The 17,296-nt window shown below is 46.0% G+C and overlaps 1 protein-coding gene and 1 long non-coding RNA gene across 16 annotated transcripts in view, besides 4 other annotated features; one reads left to right on the top strand and one right to left on the bottom strand.

Moving 5' to 3' along the window:
- The window catches only part of TCF7L2 (transcription factor 7 like 2), a 217,432-nt gene extending 200,558 nt beyond the window's left edge, over positions 1-16,874 (bottom strand). For 11 of the 15 annotated variants that reach the window (NM_001146283.2, NM_001198525.2, NM_001198528.2 and 8 more), the window contains exons 1-3: positions 16,176-16,874; positions 15,848-15,914; positions 15,514-15,638 (exon numbers count right to left, since the gene is read on the bottom strand). In NM_001146283.2, coding sequence (NP_001139755.1) covers positions 15,514-15,638; positions 15,848-15,914; positions 16,176-16,364 — 381 coding nt within the window. In that variant the 5' untranslated portion in view covers positions 16,365-16,874. Of the gene's footprint in view, positions 1-2,496; positions 2,566-15,513; positions 15,639-15,847; positions 15,915-16,175 lie in introns of all 15 variants that reach the window. The other 4 variants (NM_001367943.1, NM_001363501.2, NM_001146274.2 and 1 more) reach the window with 1 other exon arrangement.
- Positions 1,717-2,011: a silencer, noted in NCBI's record as "tiled region #6419; HepG2 Repressive non-DNase unmatched - State 17:Gen3'". NCBI's record gives its function as "represses a minimal TATA promoter and a strong SV40 promoter by Sharpr-MPRA in HepG2 cells {active_cell/tissue: HepG2}" and the evidence as "EXISTENCE:reporter gene assay evidence [ECO:0000049][PMID:27701403]".
- Positions 2,997-3,291: an enhancer, noted in NCBI's record as "tiled region #3715; HepG2 Activating DNase matched - State 14:Gen5', and K562 Activating DNase unmatched - State 9:DNaseU". NCBI's record gives its function as "activates a minimal TATA promoter and a strong SV40 promoter by Sharpr-MPRA in HepG2 and K562 cells {active_cell/tissue: HepG2 | K562}" and the evidence as "EXISTENCE:reporter gene assay evidence [ECO:0000049][PMID:27701403]".
- Positions 3,799-4,299: an enhancer, noted in NCBI's record as "H3K4me1 hESC enhancer chr10:114722581-114723081 (GRCh37/hg19 assembly coordinates)". NCBI's record gives its function as "activates a minimal SCP1, AML or CMV promoter by ChIP-STARR-seq in primed H9 embryonic stem cells {active_cell/tissue: H9 hESC(primed)}" and the evidence as "EXISTENCE:reporter gene assay evidence [ECO:0000049][PMID:30033119]".
- Positions 8,987-9,621: an enhancer, noted in NCBI's record as "H3K27ac hESC enhancer chr10:114717259-114717893 (GRCh37/hg19 assembly coordinates)". NCBI's record gives its function as "activates a minimal SCP1, AML or CMV promoter by ChIP-STARR-seq in naive H9 embryonic stem cells {active_cell/tissue: H9 hESC(naive)}" and the evidence as "EXISTENCE:reporter gene assay evidence [ECO:0000049][PMID:30033119]".
- Positions 14,779-16,492, top strand: LOC124902502 (uncharacterized). The gene is made up of 2 exons (XR_007062291.1): positions 14,779-15,343; positions 16,114-16,492. It is a non-coding gene; the product is annotated as an uncharacterized LOC124902502 (long non-coding RNA).

Here is a 17,296-nt window from a genome sequence, read left to right as displayed (position 1 = left end):
ACTTTGGGAACAATTTCATTTCGTCTAAGCTTTCCCCTTCTTTTCCCTTTGCTTCTTTGGTTTTGCTTTTTCCATTTATCCTTTGAGGATCAAACTAAAATTACAGCTAGATGCCATTTAGCTTGGCCTTGTGCGGGTCTAGCAGAGACTGAGGGAGAATGAACACTGCAAAAGCATGGTGCTGGGTCTCTAATAAAATGTCTCTCTGTTTGCCCACATGGGCATCAAGCCTTAGCAAATAGAAGCAGAGAACAATACTACCTGTTCATGGAGGAATAGTAATGGTTTCAGTCCTCCAAAACAATGAGCTCTGTAATTTACTCCATCTTCCTCCTGAGAAAGAGCTTCACATGGCCTGCACCGTGCCAGGTGGTTTGGAGAAAGACGAACTGCTCGGCCTAACAAGGGGCACTTCAGCAACGGGTGTAAAGATACAACAGCTGGTCTGGTCTGGGCTAGTCTCCCAGTGACATGGCCCCAGCCAGCCTTTCCACACCAAGATAAGGATCACTATCCTATTCAACCTCAACAATTCCCACACCCCAGGCAATAAGATTTTCCAGCACTACCCGAGATGTAGGAGGCCTCGACATGGTACATCCACCCGTTCACCAAGAGTTGTACATCCACTCAGGCACCAGGAGTTAGGGTTTGGGCTTGTTCTCTAACCAAGTCCCGCACCTAAAGCACTTTCTGGGAGCAAGACTTACTATGCTGTCCATCAAAAGGAAGAAGGAGGGACAAATGGGCAGCATGCCAAAAAGAACAATTGCAGCCTCAAGTTAAAGACATGTCAGTCTTGGAAACAGTTAGGAGTGGAGAAGGGTAAAATCAAGAGTCACACTTTCCCCCAAAAGACACACATAAGAAGGTTGGCGGCACAACTGCAGAAGTAATCAAGAAAAGAAAATATATATATATATATATATATATATAAATATATTTTAGACAGAGTCTCACTCTTGTCACCCAGGCTGGAGTGCAGTGGCGTGATCTCGGCTCACCGCAACCTCCGCCTCCCGGGTTCAAGTGATTCTCCTGCCTCAGCCTCCTGATTAACTGGGATTACAGGCACCCACCACCACACTGAGCTAACTTTTACATTTTTTAGTAGAGATGGGGTTTCACCATGTTGGCCAGGCTGGTCTCGAACTCCTGACCTCAAGTGATCCGCCCGCCTCAGCCTCCCAAAGTGCTGGGATTACAGGCATGAGCCACCTCACCCAGCCTCAAATATTTTTAAAATAAGTTGCTGTGGCCTGAAAATGAGTACAGAAACACTAGGAATGCACCAAATAAAAATGTCTGCTGACTCATGCTTTTCACTGGCGGAATAATTCCGTTTACCTGGGGCAAACAGCTATCTGGAAGTCTTATCAAGGAAGATGCAGAACTGAGATGACAGAGCTACAAAGATGCATTGTGGCTGCAGCTACCTAAGACCACACACACACACACACACACACACACACACACACACACACACACACATATACACACACACAGACAAGTTATCTGCAAGGGCTCTTGCCCAGAAAAGAAGTCATGGAATAACACAAATGATCTAACAAACCAACATCAACTCACAAAAAAAGAAGGCTCTCCAGCTAGACCTCAACACTACAGCAAACGGTTTCAAGAGAATCCCTTCAAAGGGTTAAGCCAGAACACTCAAGAAGTTTTGGTACCATTAGTTACACCATGAGGTACATCCATCCCAGCAAGGCCAGGCAGACAGACGAAAATCGTATTAGTCTGCTCTCCCTCCTCTACTGCATTCTGCTGGCATCAGTTCAGCTCCGAGTCTATATTAGTCCATGATTTGTTTAGCCTTCGGATTTAAGAGAATGGAAGTACTACGTGAGCAGGAAACAGGACACTCATCAGAAGCTGGGATCTGTCGCCTTTCCCTTCCAGCACATTTAGTGTCATACATAGACAGGTCCAAGAGAAATCAACATTTCAGGATGATCAGGTCCAAAGAGATATTCTTAGCACCACTTAACATGATTTTGATCCACCAGAAACAACCCTCTGGCTGTTGCACGGCCTCCTCTCCCACCTCTCCCCTTAAGCCTTCCCATTCACATTGTGCCACCCCGTTTTACTCCCAATTCAAGATCCCTCCCTAAGCAAAGAAAAACAGTAGTCAAGCTGGGGTCTGTGTGCCCATTATGCCCGGTCAAGAAACTCTTAACAATAAGCACAGCCTTCTCTTTCTTTCCATATCTCTAAATCATTTCAGCAGCATTTCTCCTGCTTCTCTCTCCTTTGCTCCCCTTCTCCCCCAGTGATTCAACCCCCCCCCACCACCACCACCACCACCATCACCACCACCACCATCACCACCACCACCACCATCACCACCACCACCACCACCATCATCATCATCATCATCATCATCATTATCTCAGTTGGGGGAAGGGGCGGAGAATAAAACACACAAGAGACCTACATATAGACAATTCAAGCTTCAGAATCTCTTGCGTTTCCTACCTGAACTGCAATCTGGTGTTCAATCGTTTTGTACGCAGAGTAATGTGTGCTGCCGGACTGAAAATGGAGCTGTAGAAAGAAACCAAATCAAAGCGTTCTGCTTATGTCACAAACTACAAGAAAACATCTTAAGCAGTTTATGAATAGCAGACAAACCTTCCTAGATTGAACTGCAGCCTTGGCATTCAATCAAGACCTGTGTACTTTCATTTGTTGCTATGGATAAGATGATCATAACAATCTAAGGTAAAGTTTTTTTGTTTTTGTTTTTGTTTTTGTTTTTTAAGCACCTATTCAATAAGCATACAGGGAAGATGGGGGCCACGAGTGAGAATCAATGACATGAAAAGGAAAGACGGATGCCCATTAAGACATAAAGGAAGCCAGTGTGCTGAGCGGGATGCTGAAGAAAAATGAACTGTGCGCTGCAAAAAGTCATCAGAATTGCAACATGTAGGCAAGAGGAAGGATTAGGAGAGAAAAGATTATGAGAAGCCACAAGACTGCAACAAGTACAAGCACCCCATCCCCATATTTCTAATAACTGGGCCCCAACTCTCCAATGCAATTCTATTTCTGGGAAAACAAATGTGTCAGACAGAATTCAGGGGCCACCCGATGCCTTACACATTCTTTCATGATGACTAAGCTGTCCATCCCAGGCCATCTCTGTCGCCTGCACTCTAGTAATCCACACTTCCCCAAAGAGAGGGCCAAACACTGCCAGAAAGCCGCCAATTTTCTAAGGGAGGACCACCTATTAGATGGCAACTGAGTGAATGTAAGTCACTGATTGGCTCAGACCCTCCCCAAGGTCTAAGTCTATCCTCAGCCTTTCCCTCTGAAGTCCTAGAGACCACCCATCAATGAAGCAGGTATCCCGAAATAGGAAGAGCAAGATTGTTCACCCAATTCTCATCTTCCCAAGTAATACTTGCTAATCTTGGGATCCCATCAATTGGGAAAACAAACACCATCTGCTGATTTACTTTATAAACAATACAATAATCACTGAAGGATCTCAACAATTATCTGAAAATGCATTTTAATTTGCCAAATAGGAACTACTAATGAGGAATCAGATGACCCTGTGAAATTGATGTCCATTTCCCCTCCTTGCAACAGGCAAATCAACTGCATTTCCAAAAATGGATCTGTAGTATTATAATAAACTACCGTTACTACTCCTGTGCTATTACTACTACCAGAACACGTCTGTGTTACTAGCACAAAGTGTAATTTAGGCTGCGAGTTTCAGATCCAGATAATTTGTATCTTGCTCCCTGGAAGAAAAACAATTCAGTCCACACAGTTTTAAAAAATAAATAAAAGTGGAAAAAATCACATAAGAACTTTTGAACTAACTCAAAATAAACACAAGGGTAGTAATCCCATAAAAAAAATAGTCTAAATCCATGTTGTTCATGGGCTAAGTCTATAAATATCCATTTTAGGATGCAGTGGGCTCTGAGATCATTTTATCTGTTCCAAATAAACAAATAGAAAACATTACATATATATTTATATATAGATATAATGTAAGTCTGCTTGCCCCAAACAGAATATTAATCAAAATTAAAAGGAGACACAATGAAGTAGGTGGGAAAAAAACCCTATACCTGTCAAAGGAGAGTAATGAACCACATTGCCCTAAAACAACAGAAGATCTGTCCCCCACACACAGCCCCCCACACATACTCAGAAGCAGTATCTGAAGTGAACCGCTGGCAGGGCGCAGTGGCTCACGCCTGTAATCCCAGCACTTTGGGGGGCTGAGGCGGGCAGATCACCTGAGGTCAGAGGTTTGAGACCACCCTGGCCAACATGGTGAAACCCCGTCTCTACCAAGAATACAAAAATTAGCCAGGCGTGGTGGCGGGCGCCTATAGTCCCAGCTACTCAGGAGGCTGAGGCAGGAAAATTGCTTGGACCCAGGAGGCAGAAGTTGCAGTGAGCCAAGACCTTATCGCTGCACTCCAGCCTAGGCGGTAAGAGTGAGACTCCATCTCAAAAATAAAAAATAAAAATAAATAAGTAAAGTGACCTGCTGAAAAACAAAGATGACTTTGCACCCTTTGTCCCTATCTCCTTTGTGTAAAAACTGCCAGTCAGTAAACGGAGATTGCACTAATTACTGTGACAATTCTGCATCATGTTAAAACAACTTCTGTGCCTGGGACAGGTTTCTCTGCGAGCCTGGAATTCTTGGCCAGAAAGTAGCTCTTGTCTGAGGAGGGTTCTCCTTCAAAGCAGAGTAGGCAACACTAACAACTTGTCCCTCTCTTTTCAGTTGGTTTTATTCTCTTCTTTTCCAATCGCCTGATTCAGATCTTAATGGAAACTTGTCCAAGCTTCTCTTCCCACAATCCCTGCAGAGCCCCTAGGCAATCTGTACACAGGGTTACCATAGGAATCTTATATTGTCAATTAAAATTGAGTGGACACCTGATAACTAAGGATATGTTGTTGAAAAAAATTCATATAGTCACAATCTTATGAATAAATTAATCAAACTGTGGTTAATCCAAATTCAATTTTCACTTGTCCAGTTCTGTTCTTAATCCTTGCCTTCATCATCACCCAAATAACACCAACAATCCTAGAGAGAATGCTGTAATTGAAACAATAAAAATGCAGCTGCAAGTTCCTTAAGACTCTAGCAGAGAAACCAACATATAGGACAAAGTTAATTTTACCTTCTCTCTCTCTCTCTCACACACACACACACACATACACGCACACGCGAGCGCCCACAGACACCCATACTCCCTTCTAATGCCCCCCACCCCACCCCCCAGCCACGTAACTTCCCTCACGTGCCCAGCGACACAGAAAACCTCACCCAGCTCACAAACACACCCAGCACAAGCAGCTTATTCTGTGTCTAAGTCAGATCTTTCTTCCCAGCCAGCAACCATTGCGCTGGAGAGATTTCCAAGCTCACTTCCTCCAGCTACTGCAACAAGGACTTAAAATTTTTATTTCTCCTTTGGGTTTCCACCCTCTCTCTCTTTTCCCAACACACTTTTCTTTCGAAAATGCATACTTTCACTGCTTTTTCCTTCCCTGTAAAACATAAAGATGTCTTGTTCATTATAATCTAATTTTTTTAAGGCACAGATAAAAAATACAAACACCCAGTAAACTCCTGGCATTCTAAACTGGAACAATCATTTCTCTCTCCAGAAGCTAGAAGGAAGAATAAAAGATGGTAGGCCATTTGTGTGCTTTGGAATATGAGGTGAGACTGCGAAGTCCAGGACAAGATGACTAAGGCACATCTGAGTTTAAAAACCAGGTTCTGGCCGGGCACGATGGCTCACGCCTGTAATCCCAGCGCTTTGGAAGGCCGAGGTTGGGGGGGGGGGGGTCACCTGAGGTCGGGAGTTCGAGACCAGCCTGACCAACATGGTGAAACCCCGTCTCTACTAAAAAATACAAAAATTAGCCGGGCGTGGTGGCGCATTCCTGTAATCCCAGCTATGAGGGAGGCTGAGGCAGGAGAATCGCTTGAACCCGGGAGGGGGAGGTTGCGGTGAGCGAGATCTAGGCATTGCACTCCAGCCTGGGCAACAAGAGCAAAACTCCGTCTCAAAAAATAATAATAAAATAAAATAAAAACCAGGTTCCCAGGCTGGGCGCAATGGCTCGCGCCTGTAATCCCAGCATTTTGGGAGGCCGAGGAGGCCGGATCATCTGAGGACAGGAGTTCCAGACCAGCCTGGCCAAGATGGCGAAACACCATCTCCACTAAAAATACAAAAATAAAATTAGCCCAGCATGGTGGTGTGCGCCTATAATCCCAGCTACTCGGGAGGCTGAGGCAGGAGAATTGCTTGAGCCGGGAAGGCAGAGGCTACAGTGAGCCAAGATCGCACCACTGCACTCCGGCCTGGAAAACAAGAGCGAAACTCCATCTCAAAAAAAAAAAAACAGGTTCCCATCTGCCTCATCTCTTGGGACTGTCCTGCACCAGTCACCAGGAGTGCTCCAAGACCACTCCACATCATTTCCTCATCCGGCAAACATGGCTGCTCTCACCTGGCTGTGCCTCACACCTTCAAAATGGCACTTCCCTGCCTGGAGTACCCAGGGAGTCACCAGATGAGAACTCCAGCGTATTTTCCATTTCATTGCTTCCCATGAAGCTCTCAACAAAAATCAGTGACCAAGCCCATCCCCCATTCTACTACCCACAAATGCCTCAGCCCTCACTTGTCCAGAGGAAGAACGGTGAAGACTCGGCAGTTCTCAGCACAGGCTTGCAAAATTCTTCAGCAATGTAAAGACCAACATTTTAAGATTAACCCCTTCCCTTATTATCATCATATCTAGATTCTTCATCTTATTTCTAATCACTACTGGGCTCTAAATTTGATGTTTCTGATATGCAAAACATCAGAGATACCCAGACATGGAATGGGAAACAGCTTTTTTCAACCACAGGAATCTCCTCCTCAAAGACAATTAAAACAATTGAAATCCTCTGTTGGTTTTTCCAGCACTAAGCTAACTTCTAACATGATGCACATTAATTTTTGATGCCTATTCGTCCTGCTAAATTGGGAAGAGGTGGAACATTTACTTTATTTTCAGTTTTATGAATCACCTGGCTTTCTCTTATCTATATTAAAAAAAAAAACAGATCATTTCCTAGGAGGTGTTAGTTTTTTTGGTCCACTTTCCTCTCTACCCTGTAGCTGCTACCATGAGCCACTTGAAATCTAATTTCCATGTAATTACCTTAAGAAACAAAATACTTTTTTTTAGTATACCTAAGACCTTTTCTTAGGTCATTAGTCATTTGAGCAACCACAGGCCATTATAAGCCCAGCTTCCCCTACCCCACTGCCCCCAGTCCTGTGTTGAGAGCCTTTTACATTTAATGGGAAATAAACTTTTGACCAAGACTTTGGGTGACTGCCTGCCCTTATAAAAAGTACCAAGGGGGGCCTCTGACTTCAAGAGAAAAGGCAAAACCAGCATTGCCTGGTACTTGAGCTTAAACATTCCTGCAGAGATCTAGACACTGAACATTTGTACCATCCCTAAACAATAACTTAACGACAGCATCCCCTTTCACTTCCTGGCATTCTGCCTCAGAAATTCTGCTGCAACAAAATGCATGCCTTTAGACACAAGAACAATCTCTCCTACTGTCTCAATGTTCCATCAAATGTCTATTTACCCTCATTAATTTTTCTTTTCCTCAACCTGAAACCATCAGCTATGAGTCAGAGAACGATCATTAACTTTTACAGCTTCTATACGTATCCACCTACTCACATTTGGGGAAAGAAGTATTGACTTGCAACATTGCCTGAGACCAAAATTCTCTAAGAAGAAAAAAAGGGGAAAAAGTCGCTTCAAGAAAGTTTTATCTGTAGGTCTGCGGGGAAATGCTATGTTCATCGTTTCTCCACTTTGTGCTGCAAAGTCTCGCAAAAAAAAAAAGTTGAGCTTGAACTTCTTTATGGTGATGGGCATTTCTGGGTTGATTTTTGAGAAAAACTAGATGATTTTCTTTCAACGTCAAAACATAATTAAAGCTCTTAAACTGTCTGGGGGAAAAAATAAAGTGAATCAAGTTTCCTGCTCTTGTACAAAACATATTTCTAGCATATAGAAAAACACGTGGGCTGAAGTGCTGAGACATGTTCCTAACACAGCATTTTTCATTAAAAGTTGCTACACTAAAACTCTTAAAATGATGCCCCATCATTACTCCACTTAGCAGTCGCAGTGCTGCAACTCATAACGAATTAATTTGCATTAATGTGGGTTTCATGTGTCCTTCCCTGGGTATGCCATTGTGATTCAGGCTTAATAAAACTGACACGACAACAACATAGTGCCTTTTATTTCACTTTCCAAAACAAACCAACCCACCCAAAGACCCACACAAATCCTCTCAATTTTTTAAGCATTTTACTAATATATTTTAGTACATCATAATTGGCCCAGCACGAAGGAATCTAGTTATCTTCTCAGTAAATATTTATAGCGTCACTCTTTCCCATTCATTCTGCATTTTCTTAGAGAATCTCACTGTAGCCTACATCTGCAATTCATTGACTTTACAATTTACCACATGTTGGGATGGGAGAGGTCTTAGCTCCATTTGAATCACTACACAAATATGCAAGTGATTTATCGGTTTCAAGCTGAAGACTGCAAGAGAGGGACTCCACTTTTCCTGAACATTACTTCTTCTGGCAGACCATGAACAATTACAGTGCGTACTAATTAAGCTCTGTAAATGTGCTGTGCCCTGCTAATGCCTACCAGGCCTCAAATTTATTTTCATGATGCCAAACTTTAGGGAGCAATTTTAACTCCTTCAGGGCTGATGCCACTCCTGGCCATTCCTTCCTCCGTAGACCGACCTGGTTGGGGCTACTGCATGACAAAAAGAATAAAATATAACAGGTCGAATTACTAGCCCGAAATCAGATGTGCCTAAGGAGAAAAAACCTATCTTGGGAAAAGCAAAGAACACCTCGGCTGATAACCCGTTCAAAGATCCCACAGCCCCTTCTTTGTAATGAGCTGTTTAGGGATTCATATCTATCCCTGAGGGCTAGTAAGTTTCTGCATGCCATTGATTAGAAAAGAAAACCTTTCGGCCTGGGTCTTTAAGTTTGGGTTGGATGGAAGGAAGGATCCAGTCAGAAATGAGAGCCATCATCTCTCCTGGCCTGGCAAACACCTTTGAATCTCACTTCCTCCTTATACCGCGTAGTCAGTTTGTAATACACCAGAACAGCCCACTTTTTCAACATAAATTAAAATCAGCAGGACAACTGGCCTTCTCTCTCACACTCCAGTCTCCACCACAGATAATGCCTCACCCTCAGATGCTTACACAGTAACTGATAGGAAACACATCTGTGGCTAGGTAGAACACCCTGGGTAATGAAGGGATCGCAGCCCATCTTTGCTGAGCAAAGCAATATCCCTTTTTAATAGCCCAGCCCAGGGTACTCCCACGCCCCTCCATAAGGAAACTTCCAATCTCCAATTTCAATTCCCCCAAACCCAAATCTTTGTTCTCTTGTATTATACTTTTCTTATCTTTCTTAGGCATTTATTCTGTCTCCTCTGGCTACTTTTCTGTGCCTCCTCCCGCAGATACCAGTACATTTTTCACAAATAAGCAGCCCTCCCATCCCCAGTGTAAACCTGGATTTTTTTTCCCCTCACCTATTATATTCTTTTAGTCAACTCTCTTCACCTCATCTCACTTTTTTAAAAACTCTCACGTTAACTAGTTTAACTAGTGTACTATGTAATGTGTACATTTTCCCTTCCACTCAGGGGAACATCATATAAATTAAAGAGCCGTCTCCCATACCAGGTTTCTTTAAGTATTCCTGGGGAAAATGCACAATATAGGCAATGTAATCTCAAAAAAAAAAAAAAAAAAAAAAAAAAGGTGGGGGTGTTGGGGGGAATTAAGAAAAGAGAAAGAAAGGAAAAAGGGAGAAAAGAAAAGGGAAAAGATGCAAACACCTAGAGCAACTTTGCTTTTGAAAAAGGCATCTGTGCAGAGCCCCCACTGAATTTCCATTCCTGAAAGTGCTCTTTATAAATGTGTATAACAATAGCCTAGAGGAAACGTACAAGTCAGCTGCCAAAGGAGTGGTGGCGTCTGTCTCAGTAAACTCAAGATTGTAGAGGTGGGGGTCAGCGGAGAAGGGAGGGCAGCATTTGCATTAGGATACCACCACCTCCCCCCATCTCATTGCTTATAATTAGTGAGAGAAATCTGAGCTACTGCCAATGTCTGCGGACCTTGAATATTATAAGGCCAACGTGGCGTCAAATATCTTAACATTCATAAGTGTTATGGGCTGTAAATAAAGCCTGTGGATTTATGACCTGGTGGTGCGCTTGCCAGCAAAAAGACTGGGGCACATTTCTTTCAGCAGACCTGTCGAGGTGCGAGTTTGCCTTTGGTTGTAAAATTAACCATTTCCTTCACAAATGTGCTCAATTATAAGTCAGAGTTGAAGATTTACTTACATAGTTGCCAATATTCACTCCCAGAAGAAACTCAGATGCCCACATCACACACCCCTTTGAAAATAAGACCCTCAAGAATTTGGTTCAGCCTCCTTTTCCAAACTTTAAAATGTGTCACCTCAAAAGAATTATAAATGCAGTCAAAGATATTATCTAATGCCACTCACCAAGACTAAAAAGCTTACACTTACTTCCCTGGAAAGTGCTTATTTATTTGGCAACTCCAGCATTTAAAAAAAAAAAAAAAAAAAAAAAGGTAAATCACTCCTTGCCTGAAATCTCCTCCCTTCCCCCAATATAATGTCATCTACTTCCTGTGCAGGAGAGAGCATTTGCTAAATCCAGGTTGTCTCATACTTAACTGCCAATAAACCAACTTCCACATAACTTCCAGACAGCTGGGGGAAAGGTCCTCGGAGTTTTAGTCATGGTCCAGAAACACGCGTCCACACAAAAATTTGCAGCTGTCCTTTCTCTACAGTGCATTTTTAATGTGATTCAGGGGGGCCTGTTGTGAAACATCTGACAAAATGTAAAATCCTCTTAGATACCTTCTAGTTTACCCACTGCACGTGTGTAAGAGAAGTTGCACCAGGATTTCTCCACCGAGAAATCTAGGCACTTTTTGCACACAGCCAGGGGCACCTCGTGGGATGTAAGGAGGCATTCGAAACCTGGAAAGACTTCTACTGTAATCTTTAAAAGCACAGCCTCTGGTGCAACTATTAAAATGCTAGTTTTCTAAAGCAAATATTTTTTTCAATGGCGTGCAGAACTGCAGCGATCCAGCACGGCAAACAGAACAGCATTCTTGATCTGCAAGCCCCTGGAAACCTTCCGGTAACTTTTTCACAGCTTGCTAAGAAACAGAAAGCTGACCAACTTCCAGCAATGACTCTAAATGAAATCCCTATCAGTAAAATTAAAATCAAGGTGAAGAACTCCTAGCAAGAACGAGGATTGTTTTCCTCAAAAAACTCTTTCTCAATCAGACACAGAGGGCATCAGTCAAAGCTCCTTCCCTTAAACAGTCAAAAGTTTCCAAAAACACGTCTTCCAGATAAGCTCGTTAGGCTCCCAAATGCCTGAGTTTGTTTCTGGGATTTCAGAAAGTTTCAATATCAACAAAGTGGAAAGCGCTGGCATATTTAATTTATAATCATTAAAATATGACTTATTGGGTGAATGTTGAGCCTATAATCCATACTGCAGACATTAAACCCCAACCTATAAAGATTAGCATGGAATTAATACGGTTGCATTGAGATTGAAATCTAAACATGTTCGCCATAAATATTTCTGAAGGAGATGAAAAACAATTAGCATAAATACCAAAGAAGGGTAAGAACACCTGTTCTTTTTCAGGGCGATAAGCATTTTATTGTTCTCTATTTAAAATGTAATGACCTGTGTAATTACAGTAATATTACATTGTTATGTAGGGGCTTGGAATGTCACACTTTGAAAAGTGTTGTCAAAACAATCAGGGGTGAGGTGGGGGGGTGGGAGGACAACTGGGAAGGACCACCATTAACCCTTCACACTCCAAGGTCTAAATCTTTTGTATTAGAAAGGATTATGTTGTTTCAGTGAGGAAAAAACGTCCATTTTTCACAAGCCAGAAAGAGAAGTTGCCCGGCTAAATAAAATCCCAATGAATAGGCCCCTCTCGGTTTCCTTTAAATGCTGGATTCCAAGTTCAAAAATGAATTCAAGATGCAGCTTATTTATCTGTTCAACCTAGTAGCAAAGAGCTCGGTTGAAAAGCAAATAACTTTGGATAAGAGAAGATGCAAGGGCTCGAATAATCAAGTCCTTAAAAAGAAATTTCAAACCTAACTGGAATTTCAACCACCATATTCCTATTTCCACTTTGCCAGGAGGGAAAAAGAAATGTAAAACTACTTTTTCCAATCAACTTTAATAGGTTACAGTATTCTTATCTTTAATATACAAATGTTACCACAGTTCTAATATTTGCAGTTCTAACACTTCCCATCTACTTAACTAGACCTCTCCTTAATGCAGTTTTGTATCTGAATCTGTCTTTTTAAAAGCCATTCCTATTACTGAATCAAAGACTAAATTAATATTATGCAGAAATCTTTGTCATTTTAAAATAAAATTATTACTATCAAGCTTTATGGTGTCTTCAGCAATTAAAGCATTATTCTTGAGATAATGTATTATTCATCATAAGCCGATTTAATGATACTCTCTAATTCTTTACATTCTTAAATAAAAAAGCAGAAATCAGGGTTCCAGAGAGTTTGCTTTTTAAAGGATGCAGCTGCTTACAGGTACACCATAAGTAACAGAAAATGTAGCAAAAATCACCGCCACCAAGGAGCAAAGGGAAAATAATAAAGCATACAGCGAAATTTGTCTTTACACCTTGCCATTAAAAACACACCCTATAAAACACTAAGGATTTCAGAAGAGTATGGGAAGCCCGCTATCTTGCCTATGCATTCCTCCATTCCTCCCGCAGCTGTATCAAATCTGGATTGCAAGCTGGCCTTCTGATTGAAGACGTCAGGAATGACACACAACAGCCTACCATCCTCATTTCCACTGCTCTGCTGACCAGCCTAAATAAATAACTTTAATTTTGGAGCACATAATCTAACCCAGGTAACAGGGAGGAAGGACGAAGGGGCAGTGTACACAAAGATGTCTGCTGGTGTTTGACATGTAAGTACTAAAACTGCCTACTGAGTTCAGAAATGTGTTCTGAGACTCAATCTGATGTCACAGCACCAGGCCACCCGCTATGTCCACAATTAAAATAACTAGACGCCGTCTATTCCTATAATGCCCACAAAAGGGACCGATCATTGGGAGCCTTCCTTTTCTCACCGGGAAATCATTTATTTGCCTTTAGCAATTTCCCTGTTTGCTAATTACAAGACAACACAACTGCTCAAGTTTGAGAAGGGATGGCAAGATTGCCAGTATCAGACAGCGAGTTTAAAAAGAGTCAAGAAAGCTAGCAAGCCCGCCATCAAAGCTCAATATTCAGATGGTTAAGTGGATTTTAAAATAATACCAGGGAGGTTTCCATCGGAAGGGGGAGGGGAGGAGAGGCAGAAATTCTCAGGGATTCTTTGGAATGTTGCTTGGTCCGGTTTATTGGTAGGCGAACACTGCGATTCTGAGCCGAACGGTCCCGTTTAAGATGCCCCACAAGCTCCCAAGAAAAATACAAAGTAAGCGAACTGTGCTTCCCCTACAGCTGCAAGCCCAGAGCGCGGCCCCTGCAGCCTGGTGGAACTGGCCCTGGAGAAGGGGGTTGAGCCGAACCGCTCTCCCAGCTTCCCAAGCATGTCTGGGCGCCGGGCAGGGGGGGAATAATTATTTCTCTTCCCTAGCCATAAAAAAAATGACCGGTCTAGCATGCCCTTGCCATTTTGCCAGGGCCCAAAAAAGCAAGTCAAACCTGATAGTTAATATTTTAATGCTTAAAAACACTTGTAGATCTGATCGACTCCCGTCCGGCAAGCCCTCGGCCATTAGCACCGAATCCATGGCTGCTGAACAGTGGGTGCATTATTTCAAATTGCTATCTAGAGTTACCGAAAAAGAAAAAACAAAAGTCGTGTGTGTAAATAAGGGGTAGGGGACCAAACTGGAGAAGGTGTAAAATGACAATACCGGGAAGCCGGGCACAAATGCGTCTTGCGTCCAGGGATTCGTAATCCAGGCTTCTTAGAAGAGGGAGGGAGGGATGAGGAGGAGGGGGTTCAGGGTGAGGGCAGGGGGCACAGGCCGGTGGGGGAGGGGATGAGCCGTATTAACAAATGTCAGGGTTGGGCGCGGGACCGACCCTGCAGGAAGCGCCCCCCGAGCCCGGCACCCCGCGCTGCCCTGGGGCCCCCAAAGTTGGGTGGCCGGCGATCGGCGGCCCACTCCCTTGAAGGAGAGGCGCCCCAGCCTCCCTCGGCCCCCGCACCTCCTTGAGCCCGCACACCCTGGTCTCTGGCCCCCCTGGGGCCCACGACGGGCCTACACGGAAGCTGGCGAGCGCCGACCCCGCCATACATCCCAAGGCGCCAAAATTCCCTAGAAATACACAAGTCCGCTTGGAGGAGTCCATTCCGGCTGCACACAAACCAAGAATCCGGGCCGCAGGGGCCTCCCCGCCCCACTCAGCCCTGCTGCCCTGCGCGGCCCGGGAGAGCCCGCAGCCAGTGCGCCGGGCAGCGGAGCCCGCCACGGCGCCCAGGGCGCTCGCGGCCCTGCGGGTTGCCAAAGAAAAGGACGCCTCAGAGCCCCCAAGTTTGCGGTGGGACCAATCTGGGAAGTGTGACCTTCCAGGGGAAGGGGGAAGGAGGGCCGAGAGCCAGCAATCTCCACTAGAAAGCTAAATACATAGTCGCCCAAAAGAGAAAGCCAAGGAGCCTCTCCAGGGCCCCGGGCTCTGCGCGCTAGCCAGTTCTCAAGTCCAATGCCTGGAGGAAACCCACTCTCTACCCCGCGCATCGGGCGCAGCACAGTCAGTCACTCGTGGCCCGCAGCGGCAGCCAAGGGGTTAACCGGGGAAAGCCCAAGACGCCACAGAAGAGGGAAGGAAGAGAAGGAGAGAGAGGGAGAGAGAGCAAAGGAAGAGCCACAGAGTCATCTTCCCAGGGTGAAGAAACAAACACCACCACCAAAGGGGGAGGGGGAACCAGAACGCAAAGGAAAGTTCTTCGGATTCCCCCCCCTCCCCACCAACAAAGCCCTGCTTGGACAGAGAGGTCTCCCCAACATCACGAGGCAGCAAACTGAAAGCAAGAACGTGGCGAAGTGCAAACAAATCCAGTCCACAAAAGGCAGAAAAGTTTGGAGAGTTTCGGGCCTCCTGGGCCACGAGCGGGGGAGGGGAGGGAGGGAGGGGAGGAGGCGGGGAGGGGGAGGCGGGGAGGGGGCAGGGCAGGGGCCGCATGCGGGGCCCGGCGGGCGGCGCGGGCGGGCGGGCAGCGGGCGGGGGCCGGGCGCGGAGGCACTTACGGTTCGGGCGGTGGGCGAGAGCGATCCGTTGGGGAGGTAGGGGCTCGTCAGGTCGGGGATCATGATGAAGGGGTAGCCGGGATACGGTGGCCCCTTAAAGAGCCCTCCATCTTGCCTCTTGGCCGCTAACATGGCGGGGCGGCGAGGGGACAGCGGCGGCCGCGCGGAGCGGGAGAGAGTGAGGAGAAACTTTTTAGAAAGTGCCCCGAGGGGCCGGGCGCCCCGACCGGGCCGGCGCAGGGCCAGGCCGAGCCGGGCGCGGGGCCGGGGCGCGCGGGGCGGCCGGCCCGGGGGGCGGCTCCGGGCGGCTGCGGGGCGCGCGGGGCGTACTCACCTTCTTCCAAACTTTCCCGGGATTTGTCTCGGAAACTTTCGGAGCGAGGCGGAGGCCGTCTTTCCGCCTTCCCAGAGGGGTGGAGGTGGGGAGGGCGAGGGGCAAACGCCACGCAGAAGGGGGAGAAGGGGGAGAAAAAGAATCGGCGAGGTCGAGGGGGGGGTAGAAAAAAACAGGGTTACAAGTTTTTGCAATGGTGGCACCGTACGCACACGCCGCCCGCCGGGCCCCGCCGCCGCCCCCAGCCCCGATTTCTCCCCTTTCAGCAACATTTGCCAAGCCCAGGAAACAGATAAAAAACCCCACCAGCCCGAGGGGCTTTTCCTACCTCGGAATCGGAGGAGCTGTTTTGATTCGTTTCTGATTCATTGACTAGAGACGATTTGACATCAGCTAAATCCCTCTCTGCCGAGGAGTTTTCGGAGCTCTTCTCCTCCTGTTCGCCCTCGTCTTTGAAGGAAATCAGTTCGTCGTTGGCGCCTAGGTCATCCCCTCCACCGCCGTTCAGCTGCGGCATTTTTTTTTCACCCACCAGCAGCAATTTTGGAAGAAAAATGAAGGAGGAAGAAAAGCCAAAAAAAATCACCCCCAAAAAGTTTTGCCCCCCCAAAAAATATTGCAAGAAAAAGACGAGTCCAAGGTGAACTTTTTTCTGCTTGGGGGTCTTTTTCTCCTGGGGAGGGGAAAAGAGGGAGGAGGGGAGGGGAAGGGGGGGGAGATCTTCTGCACGCGTGAGTTTGGGTTTCTTTTTTCTCTCGTTCCCAAGGATCCGATCAATGTGCAAAAAAATAATAAATAAAAAAGGGGGGTAAAAAAAAAAAAAACACCAACAACAACAAGAAGTCAGATATAAAGAGCAAAGGGGGGGGGAAGCCGAAGATACAGGAGGTGCTCGTGCCGCTCGGATTTGAGTGAGTTGAAGTTAGACTGAGAGCTTTTCAGTTCAAAGGCGGCGCTGATTGACAGATAGAAAAAGGGGGATCGAAATCCGGAGGAACGGAGTAGTCTGGGAGCGGAGATTATTGACAGGGCGAGAGGAACACACTGCCTTAATGAGATGCCGGAGGGCGGGGCCGGCCCAGTGACGTGTGCATAAATAAACAGCCGGGGTGGGCGGGGCGGGGGCGGCTAACAATGATCCTTTCGGGCGCCGGGAGAGGGAGGAGGGAAAGAAGGAGGAAGAGAGGGGCGGGGAAGCCGGGGGGAGACGGAGGGAGGAGTGTGCAGGGGGAGCGGCCTGCGCGGAGTGTGTGCGAGCCCGGGATTCTGGGCGAGGGTGCAGGGACTTGCTCCGGGAGGGGGCGGTTTCAGAAAGACAATGCGGGGTGGGAGAGGAGGAGAAGGGGGTGGCGACCAAGTCAGGAATCCGAGCCGAGGAAGGCGGAAGGAAAGCCCACTTGGGGGGCGGGGATGGGGAGAGGCCCAAAACAGTGCACTTTAGAAATATTA

The sequence above is a fragment of the Homo sapiens genome, chromosome 10, assembly GCF_000001405.40.
Source record: "Homo sapiens chromosome 10, GRCh38.p14 Primary Assembly".
Lineage (NCBI taxonomy): Eukaryota > Metazoa > Chordata > Mammalia > Primates > Hominidae > Homo > Homo sapiens.
This window is presented reverse-complemented; position numbering and strand designations above follow the sequence as displayed.